The sequence below is a fragment of the Homo sapiens genome, chromosome 6 (assembly GCF_000001405.40).
Source record: "Homo sapiens chromosome 6, GRCh38.p14 Primary Assembly".
Classification (NCBI taxonomy): Eukaryota; Metazoa; Chordata; class Mammalia; order Primates; family Hominidae; genus Homo; species Homo sapiens.
In genome coordinates, this window is record NC_000006.12 from 158743335 (window position 1) to 158765700 (window position 22366).

Below are 22366 nucleotides of genomic sequence, written 5' to 3' on the forward strand. Positions count from 1 at the left end.
AGCTCTACAATCTCTTGAAATAGTTTAGTTGTTTAATTCAGCTTTCTAATTGTTCTCAGCAGAAAAGTGTGTGTAACACCATTTAGTCTGACATAGCCTGAAGCTGAGTCCCATGACAAATGCTGTATGATTCATTAGCTTCTCCGTTCATCTACCTGGTTCTTCTCTCAGGCTGCTCACACCTTTTGCCAAGCTCCTCTGTCCATTCTCTTCTATCTTCACTTCTCATACCTCACTCACTCATGCTGGTGCACCAGTCCAAGCTTTTTTTTTTTTTTTTTTTTTTTTTTTGGTAGAGATGGGGTTTTACCATGTTGGCCAGGCTGGTCTCAAACTCCTGACTTCAAGTGATCCGCCTGCCTCTGCCTCCCAAAGTGCTGGGATTACAGGCATGAGCCACTGTGCCCGGCCTGTGCCTTTTTGAGTGTGTAAAAATTTTACATTGTTTTCCATTTTAACAGTGGAATGGTGTTGACAGGTGAGATTTTTCAGAGCCAGTGACTGGATGTGGTGAAGCTTGTTTTGTTCTTAGCATTCATCAGTTCAGGTTCCAGCCTGTCTGATGACTTGTTGGTATTGTTTATTGTTTGTTTGTTTGTTTTGAGATGGGGCCTCACTCTGTCGCCCAGGCTGGAGTGCAGTGGTACAATCTCAGTTCACTGCAACCTCTGCCTCCCAGGTTAAAGCAATTCTTATGCCTCAGCCTCCCAAGTAGCTGGGATTACAGGTACGCGCCACTTGCCTGGCTAATTTTTGTATTTTAGTAGAGACGGGGTTTCACCATGTTGGCCAGGCTGGTCTCGAACTCCTGACCTCCAGTGATCCACCCTCCTTGGCCTCCCAAAGTGCTGGGATTACAAGGGTGAGCCACCACGCCTGGTCTCAGTTGCTGTTTTTTTTTTCTATTTTATCTTTCCCTTGTGGTTCTGACTTTCTGCCCCCAGGCTTGTTTTTTTTTTCTTTTTCTTTCTTTTTTTTTTTTTTTTTTTTGAGACGGAGTCTTGCTCAGTCGCCCAGACTGGAGTGCAGTGGGGCACTTTCCACTCACTGCAAGCTCCGCCTCCTGGGTTCACGCCATTCTCCTGCCTCAGCCTCCGGAGTAGCTGGGACTATAGCTGGGACGCCACCATGCCTGGCTAATTTTTTTTTTCTTTTTTTGTATTTTTAGTAGAGATGGGGTTTCACCTTGTTAGCCAGGATGGTCTCGATCTCCTGACCTTGTGATCTGCCTGCCTCGGCCTCCCGAAGTGCTGGGATTACAGGCGTGAGCCACTGCACCCGGCACTCCCATGCTTGTTTCTTAGTTTCTTTTCAAGATGTTTTATAGTGTGGAGGAGCTAGTTGGGAATTCGAAGTAGAAATCAGTTAGGCTTGTCTTCCTATAAAAAGGCAGCACAGAGATTGGTTGCATGCAAAGTATTTAAGCACGTTTAATAGTGATAAGGTAGCTGATTGTATCTTTTAGGCCCAGGAATTTTGTGCTAATTAATAACATTCATTAGCCTCTCCTTATCTACATCGTATAAGCTTGGAGTACCCTAGACTGTGATGATAGTTTTATTTTTCATTTTAGGTAACCAGAAAAATTCAGATACAATTTACTGTTACCATTGGGTGCACACTTTACTTGCTTTATTCTATTTATTCCTCACCATAGCCCTGTGAGATCAGTATGGTTTTTTCCAGTTAGACTTTGCCACAGCTAATGAGTGGCAGCACTAGCATTTGAGTCCAGGTCTATCTGATTCCCAGTCGCAGCCACTTAGCCCCAGACTGTGCCGCTTTCCGCATAGCTGTCCTGCCATGGATATTATCTTGGCCTCCTGGGAGTGATCTTGCAGAATTGCATAGGAGCTAGTCCATTTCGCCCCAAGCAATTTGTGTTAAAGAATGAGATCGTGTAACATTTATTGCTAGGCAAAAACTGTATCTAGGCAAGAGAGGGCCTTCTGAGGATTCTCTGTCTCCTTGAGATAGAACATGTGGCAACTTATTTTGGCAAAGTACAAGCTGGTGCATTATTAACTTGATGTGAGTCAGGATACATGCTGTATGAGTTTTTATTTATGTGCTGTCTTGAAACCAGAACATCAAAAAAGTGAATTAACTGAAGTAACTTATTATATCTGTTATTCTTGATTTCAGGGAAGTTTAATTAGCATTGACAGCACCTGTACAGAGATGGGCAATTTTGACAATGCTAATGTCACTGGAGAAATAGAATTTGCCATTCATTATTGCTTCAAAACCCATTCTTTAGAAATATGCATCAAGGCCTGTAAGAACCTTGCCTATGGAGAAGAAAAGAAGAAAAAGTGCAATCCGTAAGTTGTTTTTTTTAAGTTTAACATGAGACATATTGATTCCAAAATGTATATGAAAAAGTAAAAGTCTAAGAATAACCAAGACAATTATTAAAAAAAAAAACAAAATGAAAAGGCTTACTTCAAGTATTATTATAAAGCTGTAGCAATGCAAACAATGTGTTATTGATACAAGGACAGAACAAGTCAGGAAAGTAGAATCAAAAGTCCAGATACAGACCTTAGCGTATATGAAAACTTACATGATCAAGGAGTGTCTTAGTCCATTTCGGCTGCTGTGACAGAATACCATAGACCAGGTGGCTTATAAACAAGACAAATACATATCTCACAGTTCTGGAGGCTGGGAAGTCGAAGCTCAAGGTGCTGGTAGATTTGGTATCTAGTGAGGGCCCCCTTTCTGGTTCTTAGATGACTGTTTTCTTGTGTCCTCCCATGGTAGAAGGGACAAGGCAGCTCTCTTCGGGCCTCTTTTATGAGGGCACTAATCTTGTTCATGAGGGCTGCACCCTCATGACCTAATCACTTCCCAGAGACCCTACCTCCTAATACCATCACATTGTAGGTCAGGCTTCAACTATGAATTGGTGAGCGAGGTGGACATAAACATTCAGTTGTGGAGCTATTACAGATCAGTGGGGAAAAGTGGACTTCAATAAATGATGTTGAAAAATTTGGCTTTCCACGCAGGAAATACAAAATTAAAATCTTGATTCACACAATCCATAAAGAGATTTAAAATGTTATTCTCACTGACAGACATGAAAAGGTGTAGCACCATTATAATAATAATAATAATAATATTATTATTATTATTATTATTTTGAGGTGGAGTCTTGCTCTGTCACCCAGACTGGAGTGCGGTGGCGCAATCTCGGCTCACTGCAACCTCCGCCTCCCGGGTTCAAGTGATTCTCCTGCCTCAGTCTCCTGAGCATCTGGGACTACAGGCGTGCACCACCACGCCCAGCTAATTTTTGTATTTTTAGTAGAGACGGGGTTTCACCATATTGGCCAGGCTGGTCTCGAATTCCTGACCTCGTGATCCACCCACCTTGGCCTCCCAAAGTGCTGGGATTACAGGCATGAGCCACCACACCCGGCCAGCACTATTATTTTAATGTGCATTTCCCTTATTACTAACAAAGATGAGCAACTTGTTTTAAAAAAAAAAAAATAGAGACAGGGTCTCACTATGTTGCTCAACCTGATCTTGAACTCTCAGACTCAAGCAGTTCTCCCACCTCAGCCTCCCAAAATGCTGAGATTACAGGTGTGAGCCCAGCCTTTTGAGCCACTTTTTATATATGCATTTGCCACTTAGGTTTATTTTATTTTGTTTTTTTGAGACGGAGTCTTGCTCTGTTGCCCAGGCTGGAGTGTATTGGCACGATGTCAGCTCACTGCAACCTCTGCCTCCTGGGTTCAAGCAATTCTCCTGCCTCAGCCTCCTGAGTAGCTGGGATTACAGGTGCCCGCCACCACACCTGGCTAATTTTTGTATCTTTAGTAGAGACGGGGTTTCCCCGTGTTGGCCAGGCTGGTCTTGAACTCCTGACCTAAAGTGATCCACCCGCCTTGGCCTCCCAGAGTGCTGGGATTACAGGCATGAACCACTGTGCCTGGCCAGGCTTATTCTTTTGTGAGTTTTCTATTCATATCTTTTGCCCATTTTTCTTTTTAAAAATTTAATTAATTAAAATTAATTTTTTTTTAAGAGACAGGGTCTTTCTTGCTTTGTCACCCAGCTTGGAGTGCAGTGGTGCCACTATAGCTCACTGCAGCCTCAAAGTCCTAGTAGGCTCAAGGAATCCTCTCACTTCAGCCTCCTGAGTAGCTGGGACTACAGGAGTGGAGTGCAATGGCACGATCACAGTTCACTGCAGGCTCAAGCCATCTCCCTGCCTCAGCCTCCTGAGTAGTTGGGAGGCACATGCTTGTAGTCTCAGCTATGTAGGAGGCTAAATTTGTAACTTTTTTTTTCCAGCTAGATTTTTTAACTTATTTTTGTAGAGACAGGGTTTTGTTCTGTTGCCAAGGCTGGTCTCAAACTCCTGGGCTCAAGCCATCCTCACACCTCAGCCTCCCAAAGCTCTGGGATTACAGCCATGAGCCACTGCACCTGGCCTCCCATTTTTCTATTGGATTGTTTATTGTTTTATTTATTTACCAGAGGCTTTTTGTTAAACCTAATTTAAATAGGTTTAAAAATTATTTATTAGTTATATGTATTGTACGTATTTTATCCATCCTAGCTGTAACTTGTTTTCTAACTTGTTTATTATGACTTTTCTTGTAGAAAGTTTAATATCAAATGTATCAAGCTTTTCCTTTAAACTCTCTGCTTTTTGTGTCTGTAGAAGAATTCCTGTGGCACCCAAGGGTTTAAATACGTTCTCTGGTTTCTTCTTATCGTTTTTTTTTTTTTTTCCCCACACTTAGATCTGTTCACATTACAAGCGGAATTGATTTTCTATATATAGTTTAAGGCAGGGGCCTCAGTTTTGCCTTTCTTTTTTCTTACATGGGGAACTTCTGGCATACTGTTTTAATTACCAGCTAAAGAGTGATGATGGGAAAAGAAATCAATTGTTGATTTAATCAAACTCTCTTCTGCTCTGAAATTTTTAGTAGCTCTTTAGTACCAGACAAATTAAGTACACATTTCTATAGCACTTGTGGTTCCTTCGTAACAGAATCTCTCCTATTGTTCTAGTCTTAGCTTTTATTATTACTCTTCCTGTACCGTCTACCTCAGGAAAACTGGAATAGTCTTTGCCCCAAAAGTATTTCCTGACTTTTAAATTTCAAAATTTGAGGAATGCAGTTAAAGCAGTGCTTATATTTAAAAGAAAAAGACTTAAAATGAATTATTTAAACCTCCACCTTAAAATGCTAGAAAAAGGCTGGGTGCTGTGGCTCACAACTATAATCCCAGCACTCTGGGAGGCCAAGGCAGGTGAATCACCTGAGGTCAGGAGTTTGAGACCAGCCTGGCCAACATGGTGAAACCCCATCTTTACTAAAAATACAAAAATTAGCCGGGCATGGTGGCAGGCACCTGTAATCCCAGCTACTAGGGAGGCTGAGGCAGGAGAATCCCTTGAACCAGGGAGGTAGACGTTGCAGTGAGCTGAGGTCACACCATTGCACTCCAGCCTGGGCAACAAGAGCAAAACTCCGCCTGAAAAAAAAAAAAATAGAGAATACTCAAATACCAGTATAGGAATGAAAGAAGAGACAACATGACAGCACTTGCAGACATTCAAGTATAATAAGGGGGTCAGGCTGGGGGCTCATGGCTGCAAGCCCAGCACTTTGGGAAGCCGAGAAGGGTGGATCACCTGAGGGTCAGGAGTTCAAGACCAGCCTTGCCAACATGGTGAAACCCCGTCTCTACTAAAAATACAGAGAAAATTAGCCAGGCATGGTGGCATGTGCCTGTAATCCCAGCTACACAGGAGGCTGAGGCAGGAGAATTGTTTGAACCCAGGAGGCAGAGGTTGCAGTGAGCCAAGATCATGCCACTGCACTCCAGCCTGGGTGACAGAGTGAGACTCCCTCTCATTAAATAATAAATAAAAATTAGCCAGGTGTGGTGGCACACACCTGTAGTCCCAGCTACTTGGGAGGCTGAGGTGGGAGAATCACCTCAGCCCAGGAGGGCTGTGATTGTGAGCTAAGATTGTGCCACTGTACTCCAGCCTGGGCAACCAAGTGAGACTCTGTCTGAAAAAAAAAAAAAAAAAAAAGAAAGAAAAAAATATATAATAAGGGGATATTATGTAAAACTTTGTGCTAATAAATTTAACAGCTTAGATGAAATGAACACCTTCTTTTCTTTCTCTCTTTTTTTTTTTTTTTTTTTTTTTTTAAGAAATGAGGTCTCACTATGTTGCCCAGGCTGGTCTCAAACTCCTGAGCTCAACTGGTCCTACTGCCTTAGCCTCCCAAGTAGCTGGGATCACAGGTGCACACCACCGTGCCCAGCCAATTAAAAAAAATTTTCAGTAGTGATGAGGTCCCACTATGTTGCCCAAGCTGGTCTCAAACTCCTGGGCTCATGCAATCCTTCCGCCTTGGCCTCCCAAAATGCTGGGATTACAGGCATGAGCCACCACACCTGGCTGAAATCGACACATTCTCAAGAGACACAAATTGCCAAAACTGACATGAAATGAAATAGAAAACCTGAATAACTCTATATCTGTTAAAGAGATTGAATTGGTAATTTGGCATCATCTAGAAGAGTTGAAGGGGCATATACCCTATCACTCCTGGTTATATGCCAAGAGAAGTGCTTGCACATGTGCACCATGAGCAGAGGGAAAAACTAGGACATAAGACAAATGTTCATCAACAGGATAAATGACTTGTGTATTCATTCAGTGGAATGATACGTAGGATTAGAGATGAATGAGCGGCAGTTACAGCAACATAGATGAATCCCAAACATAATATTGAGTGAAAAAAAGCAAATTATGGAAGAATGTATACAGAATGATCCCATTTATATAAAAGTTCAAAAACAGGGAAAACTAAGCAGTACATTGTTTAAGGAGACACATCAAAATGGTGAAACCATAAAGAAAACCAAGGGGGTGATAAATATAAAATCCAACGTGGTTATTACCTGGTTACGGGCAGGACTGTGATAGGGAAGTCACTGGTTATGTTCTGTTTCCTAAGCTGGGGGGCAGGGGTACATGGGTGTGCACTTTATTATAATGCTTCCAACCGTATAGGTATATTTTATATATTCTGTTTTACATATTTGAGATTGCATGAATGTGTAATGCTCAGTAACTTAAGAGTAAATGAACTGTGAAGAATTAGAGATGGAGTTTTGAGGGATTTTTTGTTTTGGTTTGATTTTTTGAGACAGAGTCTTGCTTTGCCGTCTAGGCTGGAATGCAGTGATGTTATCATGGCTCACTTCAGCCTTGACCTCCTGGGCTCAGGTGATCCTCCAACTTCGGGCGTCGAGTAGCTGGGACTACAGGTGCACACCACCACACCCAGTTGACTTTTAAATTTTTCGTGGAGATGAGTTCTCCCTGTGTATTGCCCACGCTGGTCTCAAATTCCTGGCTTATGGAATCCTCCCTGAGCCAGGTGCCTGGCCAGTTTTTGGGTTGTTTTGTTTTTCTTTTTTGAGATGGAATTTCGCTTTATTGCCCAGGCTGGAGTGCAGTGGCGCGATCTCGGCTCACTGCAACCTCCATCTCCCAGGTACAAGCGATTCTCCTGCCTCAGCCTCCTGAGTAGCTGGGATTACAGGTACATGCCATCATGCCTGGCTAATTTTTGTATTTTTAGTAGAGACAGGGTTTCACCATGCTGGCCAGGCTGGTCTGGAACTCCTGACCTCAGGTGATCCGTCCACTTCATCCTCCCAAAGTGCTGGGATTATAGTTGTGAGCTTCTGCGCCTGGCCTCCTGGCCGATTTCGAGTATTTTCACAAAAAGCTTAACCTAGGGGGAAGAAGAGACCCAAGACTGGGGCTAAAGAAGGGCACAGATAGAGGAGGCTCACTGTGATTTTTTACTTTGGAAAGTAGAGCCTGTTTCTAGCCTGTGGAGAGGGGGCTTGGGCTGCTGCTGGTTGGGGGGTCATTGCCATCACTGGGGCTGCCAGAGGAGCCATGAAGGGCAGCGTAGGGGCCTGTATGGAGGGGTCAGCCTAGAACAGGACAGGACATGTCTTCCTCTCCGCCTGGATTTCAGGGGCTGGGTGAGTGCAGATGGAGACATCTGTCATGCTGCGTGCGACCTCTAGACTCAGCAGAATCCCACTTCTCAGCGGTTGGGAGGAGCAGAGTCTTTGAGGCCCCTGCAAGGAAACAGCACAGTGCGAGGCATATGCTTTCTACTTCCACTTTTTTTTCTTTTGCAGGTGGTGGGTGGCAGAAGGGACGGGAATCCGGCTCATGGCCTTGACATCCAGGCAGGCGAGAGAATCTCTAGTTCCATGGTCTTCGCCAAATGGAGTAGGGCCTGAGGAAGGCAGGACGAGCTTCACACCCCCAGGAATATTCCAGAGGGTTATGTGGCTAGCATTTGACCATAGACTGCATGGATCAGAAGCTGCCCACCCAGCACTAACGTTGCTCACTATTAGGCTATTAAGTCCTTTCTATCAACCCAAAAATTCCAGCAGGAAGCCTGGTAAAGAAAACGCTGGCATGTGGGTTCTCTGCTGCCCCCAAACTCTTTATCCACCCCTTTCCCTGAGTTCTCACTCTGTCCCCGCTGTGTTTGGCCCCTAGGTATGTGAAGACCTACCTGTTGCCCGACAGATCCTCCCAGGGAAAGCGCAAGACTGGAGTCCAAAGGAACACCGTGGACCCGACCTTTCAGGAGACCTTGAAGGTACTTGCTGGACAGATATTCCTGTGCAGAGTCCTCCCGAGCCCGGGTGGAGCGCCTGGGGCAGAGTCCAGTGGATGGTGCTTTCAAACTCTTGACTCAGTTAGATATAATACAGACACCTATATGTTTCTTCGCAGCTCTGTCAATCAGTGTTAAGTTGGTAGAAAATAAATGTCAGCCTTTGTACAGGAAAAGTGCAGAGTCTGCCAGACTCAGGAATGGCTTTTGATTAATGATTTCTGAGAAGATGGTGAAAAAGAACCTGGCTGCCTCTTTGTCTCGGGCTAACACCGGGGCACAGGATAATTTTAAACATTAGTTTGTCTTAGTGAATGTTTCTGTCAAAGAGGTGCTCTCAGACAGAGTGCCCTGAAAATTAAACTCCTGAGTTACTGTCTTTGTAAAAGTGCCCCTTTATTGTATTTCTGACAAACTCAGGTTTCTTCTAATTTTATTTTTTTTAAATGAATCCTTTTATGAAAAATCTTACAAAGGAATTGTTTGGGTTTTCACTTTCTATGATACTAGGAAATGTGATTGATGGTTGAGGGCAGAGATGGGGCCATGCGCTCTGATGTCGGGTGGAAGGCTGCAGCTGAGGTCTGGTATCTGCAGAGAGCTGGCTGTGGTGGCCCCAATCTTGGTGCAGGGTGAGGGGGGTAGCCCAGAGCTGCAGAGGCTACCCTGCCGGGGCTGGGCAGCCAGAGGTCCCCTCGTCTCATGCCTATGACAGGAGAGGGCTTTGTTTGCCTTTCTTGGCAAGTAGGGGGTGTCTGTGAGCTGCCAGCCAGGGGCCATCTGGGCAGCTGGCACAGAGCCCTGAGTTCATTAAATAATAATAGCCCTTGTTTCCTGGGTCCCTACTGTGGCCAAGTGCTTTATATACAGCCTGGGGTAATTATTAGAATCCTCATTTACCCACGGGGAAACTGAGACCTAGAGAGTCCTTAGAAATACAGCTCAAAGCCACAAAGGACTGGCAGTTCTCAAAATTTGTGTGCGTAAAATCCCATGGGGATTTACATTTTTAAAACATTTCTTCTTTTCTTTTTTTTTTTTTTTTTTTTGAGATGGAGTTTCACTCTTGGTCGCCCAGGCTGGAGTGCAGTGACATGATCTTGGCTCACTGCAACCTCCACCTCCCAGGTTCAAGCGATTCTCCTGCCTCAGCCTCCTGAGTAGCTGGGATTAAAGGTACCCACCACGATGGCCAGCAAATTTTTTGTGTTTTTAGTACAGATGGGGTTTCACCATGTTGACCAGGCTGGTCTTGAACTCCTGACCCCAGGTAATCTGCCCACCCCGGCCTCCCAAATGCTGAGATTACAGGCTTGAGCCACCACGCCAGGCCTAAATTTCTTATTTTCTAAGATGCCCCTGTACTTAGAACTGGGGATTTTTTTAAAATGCAGATTCTGGGCCGGGCGCGGTGGCTCACGCCTGTAATCCCAGCACCTTGGGAGGCTGAGGCGGGTGGATCATGAGGTCAGGAGATCGAGACCATCCTGGCTAACATGGTGAAACCCCGTCTCTACTAAAAATACAAAAAATTAGCCGGGCGTGGTGGCGGGCGCCTGTAGTCCCAGCTACTTGGGAGACTGAGGCAGGAGAATGGCGTGAACCCGGGAGGCAGAGCTTGCAGTGAGCCGAGATAGCGCCACTACACTCCAGCCTGGGTGACAGAGCGAGACTCCGTCTCAAAAAAAAAAAAAAAAATGTAGTTATATAATTGGAGTTAAAAGGTTACCTACCTTAAAATGTACACAGAATCTCAAAGATATCACTTAAAATTTTTATCCATGGGTCTTATCTAGTATATTGTGAATATTTTATAGTCCTGGGAAACTTTCCAGTTACAATTAAAATAATCGGCATCTCTAATTGATCCTAAATGCAAAATAACCCAACACCGGCCAGCCTCATCCTTAATAGAAATATGCATAAGATGCGAAGGATGGGAAGCCGGGGAGGCCGATCCAGCATTAAAAGTCTCGCTAGAAGCCAGTATTTCCAATCACAATCACACCTTTGTGCAGCACCCAGGCTTTGTGCGACCTGAGGTGAGCCATCAGAGTACGATTCAGGTGGATGAGGCTGTGAGAACTGTCTCCAGCCAGTTTTGAGAGAAGTGCACATCAAATGCGAGGATCTAGAAATTGATCCTCAAATTTTTCTGAGCAGAGTACTTCTTGGCAAGCCTTTCTGGACCCAGGGAGACTTGTACCCCATTTGACACCACTGTCCTGGGGGCCTGGAGAGGATGAAGTGATCTCACTGGGTGACATTGGTCATTGCCTGGCCCTGCTCTCAAATGATCCTTACACCTCATTCCCAGCTGAGCCTGGAGCAAGCCTTGTGGACCTAACAGGGCTATGGAAAATAGGTCTGGTTTGAAAAGGTAGATTCTAGGCTGGGTGTGGTGGCTCACGCCTGTAATCCCAGCACTTTGGGAGGCCGAGGCAGGCGGATCATGAGGTCAGGAGATCGAGACCATCTTGGCTAACACGGTGAAACCCCGTCTCTACTAAAAATACAAAAAATTAGCTGGGCACAGTGGCGGGCACCTGTAGTCCCAGCTACTCGGGAGGCTGAGGCAGGAGAATGGCGTGAACCTGGAAGGCGGAGCTTGCAGTGAGCTGAGATCACACCACTGCACTCCAGCCTGGGCGACAGAGCGAGACTCCGTCTCAACAAACAAAACAAAACAAAGCAAAGGTAGATTCTGTATGTAGCAGGGAGTAGTCCTATTGACAGAAAGGGGCGAGCAATGGGTAAGGACCCAGGAGAAGTGGCTGAGCGTCGCCCACACACAGCTGGAGATGAGAGAGCTGCCTGGGGGCCCGAGCCCGACCCTGCTAAGTGGCGTGGCGTTCTAGTAACCGCTTCATTTCTCAGAGGGCAGCAGATGCAGCTGGCCAGCTGCCTGGACTAACTGATAAGGAGTGTAGCTGGAATATGGGGAATAATCACATCAATCCAGAGTTTATAGACAGAGATTGAATGTGGGGCAGAGTCGGAAATGGACCCATGGGCTGGGTGTGGAGGCTCACGCTTGTAATCCCAGAACTTTGAGAGGCTGAGACGGGTGGAGGGCTTGAGCCCAGGAGTTCGAGACCAGCCTGGGCAATGTAGAGAGACCCCATCTCTACAAGAAATTAAAAGATTAGCCGGGCATGGCGACGCCTACCTGTAGTCCCAACTACTTGGGAAGCTGAGGTGGGAGGATCGCTTGAGCCTGGGAGGTGCAGGCTGCAGTGAGCTGAGATGGCACTGCTGCACTCCAGTCTAGGTGACAGAGTGAGATCCTGTCCCCCCAAAAAAGATATGGACCCATAGACTTGAGGGAAAACTGGCTAAAAGTTACCCAAAGGCAGGAGAAAAGGGAATGTGACCCAAGAAATGCCCATCTCCATGGCCACAAGCCACCCCAGCGGGGAGGAAAAGGAGGAATGAACTGAGGAAGCTAACCTGGCCAGCCAAGCCATTTGTGCCTGGCCCGCAGACATCAGAAGTGTGGACAGAGCCTACAGGCAGCCCCCAACAGAGCAGGGGACGGCCCTGCTGCGCCTCCCCTCTGTTTGCAGAGGCTGAAGGAGGGAAATTACCGTGTCTCAGTTCCTGTTTTATTCCATCTCGTTCCTCGATTGGAAAGATGGGTAAAGGTGGGCATGAGGAGATGAACCCCAAAGCAAACAAACCGCACAGCTGCTGCAAATGGGTGCAAGTGTCCAGCCTCACAGCAACAGCCGTGTCACGAGGAGTCACCATTCAAACCCCAAACAAGCGCCGGAGTGGGGGCAGCATGGGCCACAGAGGTCAGCAGCGAGACTCGGGCCTGGACACAGTCAGTGCACGTGAATCTGGCCTGCAGTGTCGGCTACCAGACCAAGGGAGGGAGGGTCACTGAATTTCCAAGCTGCTTTTTTTTCACCTGCAACATGGTTTGAATTATACTGACCTCATAGGGTGCGTGTGAAAGCTAAAAAGATCAATGCATCTAGAAAGCCTGGTGTGAAATAAATAAGTGTTCAATAACTTGTAGGGTTTGTTCATTATTGAGAAAATCCAACTAATAAGCTTAAAGTGAGGCCCTCAGAGGCTGAGGTGGAGTCAGCCACACCTTGGGAAGGGCTGGGTGCCACTGAGGGGCCTTCGGCCTCTAGTCTCTATGGGGCAGAACCCATGCTTGGCTGGGGAATGGGTTCCCTCGTCACTCTTGGGTGTGTTGGGAGCCCCCTGTGTGGACAGTAAGAACATCGTGTTGGCCTCTGCCAAGCCAGCACAGGCCCTGCATGCCTGAGCACAGGCACCGTCCCTCCAGGGCAAACACGTGGTGTTGCGGGGAATGGAGGAGGGGGGAGTTCATGCTTTGCTTTAAAAAATAAATAAATAAATGCAGGCTGGTGCAGTGGCTCACGCCTGTAATCCCAGCAATTTGGGAGGCCGAGGCAGGTGGGTCATTTGAGGTCAGGAGTTCGAGACCAACCTGGCCAACGTGGTGAAACCCTGTCTCTACTAAAAATACAAAAAAACAAGCCGGGCGTGGTGTTGGGCGTCTATAGTCCCAGCTACTCAGGAGGCTAAGGCAGGAGAATCGCTTGAACCCAGGAGGCAGAGGTTGCAGTGAGCCAAGATCGTGCCACTGCACTCCAGCCTGGTGACAGAGCGAGATCCTGTCTCAAAAAAAAATTTTTTTTTTTTTTTTTTTTTTTTTTTTTAGTATTTTTGGGCCTGTTATCATTATTTTTGGCCAAGCCTGGCTGGGTGCAGTGTTTAGATGCAAGTTCAAATCCTGTGCGAGCATAGACTTTGGCTTGATTTCTAGTAGGCGTGAGCTGGACAAGGACTTTCATCCTTGTCTTGTTCTAGGAATTGGGGGTGGGAGGCTACCAGGGCTACCCTTGCCTGTCCCCAGGCAGAGCACTGGGCACCTGGGGAGTAGGGGGAGGGGTTCTTGAGCAGAGAGAGGACCCCCCCGCCCCACCCTGGCTGTAAGCACCTTGACCCACCCTAACCACATCAGGTCCCTGGCTGCATCCGCATCTTGGACTCAGCCTGTGGGAGGGAGGCCTGCGCCAGGCCCCGGGAAGTGGGGCCCTGGAAGGTGGGGTCCAGAGATGGGGATCCTAGGAGTGCGGGCCCCGGGAGCCCAGCTGACCATCTCTTCCTTGCCTCTGCAGTATCAGGTGGCCCCTGCCCAGCTGGTGACCCGGCAGCTGCAGGTCTCGGTGTGGCATCTGGGCACGCTGGCCCGGAGAGTGTTTCTTGGAGAAGTGATCATTCCTCTGGCCACGTGGGACTTTGAAGACAGCACAACACAGTCCTTCCGCTGGCATCCGCTCCGGGCCAAGGTGATGTCTGGTTTTGGACTGAGTGCCCTCCATCCCCACTGTGATAGATAAATAACTTTTCAGAGAGATCCCAGAAGAGAAAACGTACCTGGCAAGACTTGGACCCAAGACTGTGTGTTCGCCGGCCTGGCGCTGTGACTTTGAAATAGTTACTTTCTTGTGGGTGGGGTGGGCGGAGGGTTTGTTTTAACTGGCTCAGCTCTGTTCAGGTACCCGAACAGCCCCCGCCTCAGCATCATACACAGACCAGACTGGATCAGGTCCTGTGGCTTCCCCTGGCGGAGGCCTCCCTTTGCTGGTGGCTGACCTGCTGGAAGCTGGCCATGCCTTTCCCTGGGGGCACCGCCCGCAGCTATGCGGTCCCCCAGGGGGCTACAGTGTGTTGTTTCTAACCTTTCAACCCCAGGCACTCTCAATAATAGGTGACAATAACTAACAGTAATAGGTGACAAATGGCTGGACCCGATGCTGTGAGGAAGGCAGAGGCCGCCCTGGCTAGGATGTGGGGCTCCAGCTCCTGGTTTGGAATTGCACGGCGGGAGATAGATAGCACGTGGGCTGGGGGTGGGTCAGAGGAGCTGATGGACTCCATTTAGGATCCGTGTCCCCCAGGCTATGCAGGTAGGAGGAGAGGCCTGGGAGAGAGGTTAGCATTTCTCGGAGACGCTGCTTTGTACTTTGCTGTGTCCAGATCCCGGACTGGGAGAGAGTTCATGTGAGACCACGAGGGATGAAAAACGTGGGCTTCTGCCATCTCTTTAAAAACCCCAGTGGGGAGCCTGGACACGGTGGCTCTTGACTGTAATCCCAGCACTTTGGGAGGCCGAGGCGGGCAGATCACAAGGTCAGGAGATTGAGACCATCCTGGCTAACACAGTGAAACCCCGTCTCTCTAAAAATACAAAAATTAGCTGGGTGTGGTGGTGCACGCCTGTAGTCCCAGCTGCTCTGGAGGCTGAGGCAGAAGAATCACTTGAACCTGGGAGGCAGAGGTTGCAATGAGTCGAGATTGCACCACTGCACTTCAGCCTGGCAACAGAGCGAGACTCTGTCTCAAAAAAAAAAAAAAAACCCAGCGGGATGGACTACTCCCCTCAGCCAAGGGCCCACGGCAGGCCCAGCCTTCTGCTCCGACCTGGACATAAGGCACAAGGGCCATCTGGCTTCTTTTCCTCTCCGGAGCCAGCGCAGCTGGGATTCGCATTATCTCTGCCTGGAAGCTTCTCAGGTTTCAGCTGAGGCCTCCTGGTGAGCCACCTGCCCCCTCCCTGCTCCTCCAGGCAATGCCCACTCTCCCACTGCCTGTGCTGACTCCCCCAAGCTAGAGTCCGGGCTTAGACCTCCCCTTCCCAGTGCCTACCTGGAATGCATCCCCTATCCAAGGTCAGCCCAAGACGACCCAAAACCCACCTCCTCCAGGAAGCCATTCCTGATTACCCCTACCAGAAGTGGCCTCCCTTCCAGGACCCGGAGCTCAGGACGCCTGCCATCTCGGCCTGATCTTTAGCCTCAGTGTCCCTTTGCTCCTGCCCCAGCCACGTTGCGGGTGGGTGAAGCATCTGGCTTCCATGCCTTCCGTGCCTTCCTCTCACCCCCGCTCTGTCATCTCTCAGAACAGCATTGGCTCCTCCGGGACGCCCTGAGTTTCCAGCCTGAACTCCTTCTGTCCGAGGCTGAATCCCCCGTGCACCCTGCCTCTCCCACACCTCTGTCATCAGCTCGAAGACAAGGCCTGGAACAAGCACAGGGCTTGGCATAGGACAGGCGGCCACCAGGCCTCATCAGACTGAGCCTGCTCTGGCAAGTGGGTGAGGAGCAGGTGGCACAGAGCTGCAGGTGGCACAGAGCTGCAGGTGGCACAGAGCTGCAAGGCATCCCTCCTAAAGCCAGTAGGGTGGGGAGTCCGCCCACAGACCCGCCCCTGGGCTCTGTTCCGCCTCGGTTTCTGGCCGCTGAGGCTGGAGGCAGCCATACCTCATTTGGCACCCGAGGGCCAGGAAGACGGGCTGGCCCACGCGGGCTCCCAGGAGTCCTGAGGCCTCTGAGGGTAACTGAGAGGGCTGCTTCTCAGTGCTGGCAGGAGCCATGGTGGACCGGATGTGTCAAGACCAAACTTGTCCAACCTGCAGCCCGGGACGGCTCTGTTTTTTGGTTGTTGTTGTTTATTTTGAGACGGAGTTTTGCTCTGTCGTCCAGGCTGGAGTGAAGTGGCGTGATCTTGGCTCACTGCAACCTCTGTCCCCTGGGTTCAAGTGATTCTCTGCCTCAGCCTCCCTAGTAGCTGGGATTATAGGCGCCCGTCACCACACCTGGCTAATTTTTTTGTATTTTTGGTAGACATGGGGTTTCACCATGTTGGCCAGGCTGGTCTCGAACTCCTGACCTCAGGTGATCCCACCTTGGCCTCCCAAAGTGCTGGGATTACAGGCATGAGTCACCATGCTTGGCCTCAGGATGGCATTGAATGCAACCCAACACAAATTCATAAACTTTCTTAAAACATGAGTTTTTTTGTGATTTTTTTTTTAAGCTCATCAGCTGTTGTTAGTGTATTTTATGTGTGGCCCAAGACAATTCTTCCAGTGTGGCCCAGGGAAGCCAAAAGACTGGACACACCCTGCTCTAGACTCTTCCCAATACTCTCCTCCCACCCCACTGGGAGAAGGATGGTGTGGATTTCAGGCTCATCTCTTTCCCGGCCCTCTCTTCACTCACTTTCTGGTAAAACCACTCATGACAGAAGTGCCTCGGTGGGCAGGGAGGTGTCCTCAGACTCACCACACCCTGAGGGGCCACCCCCTGTGGCTCTGGACAGAGACTACACCCCATGCTGTCCCCAGTGTCTGTGCCAGTCCTTGGCATGGAAGGGCAGCGTGAATCTCTACTGACCTGGGTGGGGTGGATGGGGTGGAGGCTTGAGTTCATTTCTGTTTTTCAAACTCAGGCTGTGTCTGGGTTTTCGTAGAAATGTCTTAGGGAGTGTGCAGTGCCCTTGAGTCCCTTCACTTCCTCAGGCTCATCTGGCTCTGGTTCGCTGGGGTGGCCAAGCTGTTCCTCCCCATGCTGGGGTTGGGGAGGGTGGGAGTGAAACCATAGATGGAAGGAAGACCAGTCCTGCCACGGACACACCTGCTCCACCCAGGGCCTTGCAGGGGCCAGGGGGAAGCATCTGTGGACGAAGCTGAGACAACCAGAGGAACCCAGAAGGTTCTTGGGACTTGGGGAATCCTGTCCCTAAGCTCTGCCTCTTGTCCCCAGGCGGAGAAATACGAAGACAGCGTTCCTCAGAGTAATGGAGAGCTCACAGTCCGGGCTAAGCTGGTTCTCCCTTCACGGCCCAGAAAACTCCAAGAGGCTCAAGAAGGTCAGTGGCCTCCAGCTCCCTGGACATTGTCTGTGTCATTGTCTGCAGAGCCTGGTGCTGCAGGCAGACTGAGGTGGGGTGAAAGTTTTCTAGCATTTCCTTTCTACGTCCCCGTGCCCAGCTCCAGCAGCTCTTCTTTCTGAGCCATGCAGCGAGCCCGGGAGAGGTTCTCTGGAGCCCGTAGTGGGGGAAACGGGTGACCAGAAGCAGACAAGGCCTCTGATGCCCTCTCTACGCTCCTCTAAGGACACTGCCCTAGGCCTTCCTCCCAGGGGCAGATTGGATGGTCTCTGGGGAAACCGTGGCCCCTCCTGAAGAGCAGAGGCTCCATGACAATGTGGAGCCAAGAGCACTGGTACCTGCAGGGCTCAGACGAGATAAATCCCCGCCCCCAGGCATGTGGGTAGCTGCTGCCCAGCAAAAGAAGTAGGTCAGGAGGGAGGGTCCTCAGGGACCCTATGGAGATTTTACTCCTTCAATAACGTGGGGCGTGTGGAAAGCAGGAGGGTGGAGGAGGAGGAGGGCGGGGAAGGAGGACTGGGAGAATGCACATTTCTTTTTTTTTTTTTTTTTTTGAGACAGAGTTTTGCTCTGTCACCCAGGCTGGAGTGCAGTGGCCCGATCTTGGCTCACTGCAAGCTTCGCCTCCCTGATTCATGCCATTCTCCTGCCTCAGCCTCCCGAGTACCTGGGACTACAGGCACCTGCCACCATGCCCGGCTAATTTTTTGTTTTTTTTCTTTAAGTAGAGACAGGGTTTCACCATGTTAGCCAGGATGGTCTCGATCTCCTGACCTCATGATCCGCCCACCTTGGCCTCCCAAAGTGCTGGGATTACAGGCGTGAGCCACCACGCCCGGCCCAGAATGCACATTTCTGTTGTGTATTTTGCTGACTCCCTATTTGGCTAGAAGAGGAAATTCTGCTACCCAAGTTCACGGGGTCACCAGCAGACCAGCAGCAAGTGCCCCATGGCCATCCCAACCTCCTAGACAGGGTCTCGGGGCTCTCACTTTCCCCCAAACTTCTGGCTACAACTAGACTCAAACTTCGGCATCTTCCCTCTCCTTGCGTTCCTCTTTACTCTTTTCTAGGATCTTAGTAATCCCTCCATCCTGTCCTCCACCTGACCACAGAGCGGCACGGTGTGGGCAGCGCCACAGCCTGTGGGCAGGGCCAGCAGAGCCCACTGCACCACTCCCATCTGCTCTCTCGGGGTCTGAGGGCTGTAGCAGATTCTCTAGCTGAGCTCTCGGTTTTGGGGTGGTGGTACTGCATACTAACGTATCAGGAGACATGGTTTGACAGTGAATACTGGCTTTCCTTCCAGGGACAGATCAGCCATCACTTCATGGTCAACTTTGTTTGGTAGTGCTAGGAGCCAAGAATTTACCTGTGCGGCCAGATGGCACCTTGAACTCATTTGTTAAGGGGTAGGTATTCGATGTAATCAAATATTTATTGGTGATCTAGTATACATCACAACATGGCCCAGAACCTGCAGCGAACACTAAAAAACGTAAGCCACTTAAAACGTCTTATTTTAGCTTTCCTATGAAAATCTAACAACACATATTAAAGACCCTGATTTCCAAAAATTCACGGGATGTGTACATGCTGGAGTACTCGAAACCCTAATCTTCTCAGTTCTGTGATATCAGGAAGCCAGTTTTGAAATCAAGCATGAAAATGTGGTGTGGTCAGTAAATATTTCCTAAGCTTAACATCTCCTCTTGGACCAACAGTAAAACGCATGACTGTCCACATTTCATTCTCATTCAGTATAGGTGCATTGGCCCCTCTAAAAGTAAGGCAAATACCATTATTACATTGAATTGCAAACTCCCCGTCAGTGACATAGGGAAAAATGACGGTCAAGATAGAACTCAGGCTGGACGCAGTGGCTCGTGCCTGTAATCCCAGCACTTTGGGAGGCTGAGGCAGGTGGATCACCTGAGGTCAGGAGTTCAAAACTAGCCTGGCCAACATGATGAAACCCCATCTCTACTAAAAATACAAAAATTAGCTGGGTGTGGTGGCGGGCACCTATAATCCTAGCTGCTCTGGAGGCTGAGATAGGAGTCTTCCTTGAACTTGGGGGGAGGAGGTTGCAGTGAGCTGAGATGGTGCCACTTCACTCCAGCCTGGGCGACAGAACAAAACTCCGTCTCAAAAAAAGGAGAACTGAGCTTATGTTCTAATCTTGTTGCTTATCTGCATGGCCTTGGACAAGCTTGTCTGAGTTGATTTTCCTGAGAACAGGGTTAAAAGGAGATAACGTGTATCTGCAGTCATGGTGGGAGGCACCCCAAGGAGGAAAGATTAAGATGAGGGCCACGAGGCCTCAGCATGCAGCTCGCCCTTCATACCTGATGCAGAATTCGGCCCTAAGGGAAATGTGCCGAGTCCTGTGGTTCCCACCCTGCTTCACTGGGGAGGGTGTGGATGTTGTGGACTTGGCACTTTTCTTAGTGCTTCCCGTCTGCACTGACGCACAGGCCTCAGGAGAGAAGGCCGTGTGGATGGCAATGATTGCAGGGTTTGTGTTCCCTCTTCAGCTGTCTCACTCTGCCAGACCAACAAAAACTGAGACTGAAGTCGCCAGTCCTGAGGAAGCAGGCTTGCCCCCAGTGGAAACACTCATTTGTCTTCAGTGGCGTAACCCCAGCTCAGCTGAGGCAGTCAAGCTTGGAGTTAACTGTCTGGGATCAGGCCCTCTTTGGAATGAACGACCGCTTGCTTGGAGGAACCAGACTTGGTTCAAGTAAGTCTGAGACATTGAGCCCAAACGTTTATACTTTGTGATTATCCTAATGGGTACCGTGCAAAGAAAATGCTTCCACCAGGGCAGTGACTTAACTGGTTTTGAAATTGCCTAGCCTGCCTTAATTGGAAATGCCTAAGTCTAGTTTTTACTCTACAGCTGAGCCATAATACAGCCAAGTATTTTGACAATTTAAATCAGATTTAGATCTGCTAAAGAAACAAAAATTATAGGCCTCCAAACGGGCTAGGTACAGTATTTGCTTTTGTTTCTGGCGTCAATCATAAAAGGATTATTTTCTTAAATGAAAATATCTTCTTAAACAAATGGCAATTCAGAAAGTACTTCATCAAAAGTGGTCAGAACAGCAGTGCTGTCCAGAGCCGCTCGGCAGGGCACCGCCGGCATGGTAGGTGGACAGCCCTCTGCTGTGAGGTTCTGTGCCTGGCACTGCTTCTGGCTGCCAGCAGTGTCCCTGACATGATGACAACCAAAAACACCTGCACACATCTCCAAGGACCTCCAACTGAGAACCAGTGACTGAAGAGAAATAAGCTTCACTGCTCCATTGCTTTTCAAAGATATTTTGTCCAAAGCATACTGTCTTCCTCTAAGAATCCCTTCCCATGGGCAAGCCCAGCCCCCAGTCTGAGACGGCCCCACCCAGCTAGCCATGCTGGTGTGCAACTATCCACTCCCTTGGTGAAGACCCAGCCCACCAAACCAGAGTCCTCGCCTCACTTTCAAACTACAGAACTCCAGGCTGTTAGAGCCTCGCAGAGCAGAGGATGCCTGCGTGAATCCCAGTCTCAACACCAGCTTTGTTGGGGTGGGAGTGGTGGTGGCGGCGTCTGTCATCAGTGGTTGGCCTTTTAATGTGGACTTGAGGTGAAAAACTTCTGGCTGGTCATCATTTTTAAAGGGATGAGAGGGGATGAAGTGGTGCCCTCCCCGACCATGGCTAAATTGTCTTCCTCTCTTACAGAGGGAGACACAGCTGTTGGCGGGGATGCATGCTCACTATCGAAGCTCCAGTGGCAGAAAGTCCTTTCCAGCCCCAATCTATGGACAGACATGACTCTTGTCCTGCACTGACATGAAGGCCTCAAGGTTCCAGGTTGCAGCAGGCGTGAGGCACTGTGCGTCTGCAGAGGGGCTACGAACCAGGTGCAGGGTCCCAGCTGGAGACCCCTTTGACCTTGAGCAGTCTCCATCTGCGGCCCTGTCCCATGGCTTAACCGCCTATTGGTATCTGTGTATATTTACGTTAAACACAATTATGTTACCTAAGCCTCTGGTGGGTTATCTCCTCTTTGAGATGTAGAAAATGGCCAGATTTTAATAAACGTTGTTACCCATGTCCTCCAGTGCTTATCAAATGAGGTAAAAGGCCGGCTGGTGGGCATGGTAACTCCCCCCTGTAATCCCAGCAACTTTGGGAGGCTGCAGTGGATGGCTTGAGCTCAGAAGTGTGAGATCAGCCCAGGCAACATAGATACCCTGTCTACAAAAAAACCAAAAAATTATCCAGGTGTGGTGGTACACACCTGTAGTCCCAGTTACTCAGGAGGCTGAACCGGGAGGATTGAGCCCAGGAGGTTGAGGCTGCAGTAAGCCCCGATCATGCAACTGTGCTCCAGCCTGGGCCAAAGTAAGACCCTGTCTCAAGGCGGGGGGGGGAGTCACAGCTTCGCTGTGAGAAGCACTTTATTTTTTGAGACGGAGTCTCCCCGTCACCAGGCTGGAGTGCAGTGGCACGATCTTGGCTTGCTGCAAGCTCCGCCTCCCGGGTTCTAGCAATTCTCCTGCCCCAGCCTCCCAAGTAGCTGGGATTATAGGTATGCACCACCACACCAGGCTAATTTTCGTATTTTTAGTAAAGATGGGGTTTCACCATGTTGGCCAGGATGGTCTCGATCTCCTGACCTCGTGATCCGACCACCTCGGCCTCCCAAAGTGCTGGGATTACAGGTGTGAGCCACTGTGCCCGGCTATGAGGAGCATTTTAGAGGAGCCTGATGAGTGTTGGAGCAGTCTTTCTCTCCTGTGGAAACCATCTCGAGGAGGTTAGGTGACCCATGGAGCACCATGTCTTGGGTTGGTCAGCTCCAACTTACCAGTGTACCCCCAGGGACACCACGGCCCCTCACGAAACCTGGCCAGAGGACAGCATAGAGCCCAGACGAGTCGG

At 49.2% G+C, this 22366-nt stretch overlaps 1 protein-coding gene and 1 non-coding gene across 27 annotated transcripts in view, besides 3 other annotated features; one reads left to right on the plus strand and one right to left on the minus strand.

The window, feature by feature from the left end:
• The window catches only part of SYTL3 (synaptotagmin like 3), a 119936-nt gene extending 98399 nt beyond the window's left edge, over nucleotides 1-21537 (plus strand). For 25 of the 26 annotated variants that reach the window (XM_006715606.4, XM_047419556.1, XM_011536254.3 and 22 more), the window contains 7 exons: nucleotides 2146-2324; nucleotides 8594-8696; nucleotides 13877-14047; nucleotides 17306-17411; nucleotides 18742-18844; nucleotides 19970-20175; nucleotides 21161-21537. In XM_006715606.4, coding sequence (XP_006715669.1) covers nucleotides 2146-2324; nucleotides 8594-8696; nucleotides 13877-14047; nucleotides 17306-17411; nucleotides 18742-18844; nucleotides 19970-20175; nucleotides 21161-21270 — 978 coding nt within the window. In that variant the 3' untranslated portion in view covers nucleotides 21271-21537. Of the gene's footprint in view, nucleotides 1-2145; nucleotides 2325-8593; nucleotides 8697-13876; nucleotides 14048-17305; nucleotides 17412-18741; nucleotides 18845-19969; nucleotides 20176-21160 lie in introns of those variants that run through there. The other variant, XM_017011499.2, reaches the window with a different exon arrangement.
• Nucleotides 11977-12561: an enhancer, noted in NCBI's record as "H3K4me1 hESC enhancer chr6:159176343-159176927 (GRCh37/hg19 assembly coordinates)". NCBI's record gives its function as "activates a minimal SCP1, AML or CMV promoter by ChIP-STARR-seq in primed H9 embryonic stem cells {active_cell/tissue: H9 hESC(primed)}" and the evidence as "EXISTENCE:reporter gene assay evidence [ECO:0000049][PMID:30033119]".
• Nucleotides 15709-16384: an enhancer, noted in NCBI's record as "H3K4me1 hESC enhancer chr6:159180075-159180750 (GRCh37/hg19 assembly coordinates)". NCBI's record gives its function as "activates a minimal SCP1, AML or CMV promoter by ChIP-STARR-seq in naive H9 embryonic stem cells {active_cell/tissue: H9 hESC(naive)}" and the evidence as "EXISTENCE:reporter gene assay evidence [ECO:0000049][PMID:30033119]".
• Nucleotides 19523-19817: a silencer, noted in NCBI's record as "tiled region #4567; K562 Repressive DNase matched - State 5:Enh". NCBI's record gives its function as "represses a minimal TATA promoter and a strong SV40 promoter by Sharpr-MPRA in K562 cells {active_cell/tissue: K562}" and the evidence as "EXISTENCE:reporter gene assay evidence [ECO:0000049][PMID:27701403]".
• MIR3918 (microRNA 3918) lies at nucleotides 21327-21419 on the minus strand. Its single transcript, NR_037482.1, has one exon. It is a non-coding gene; the product is annotated as a microRNA 3918 (primary transcript).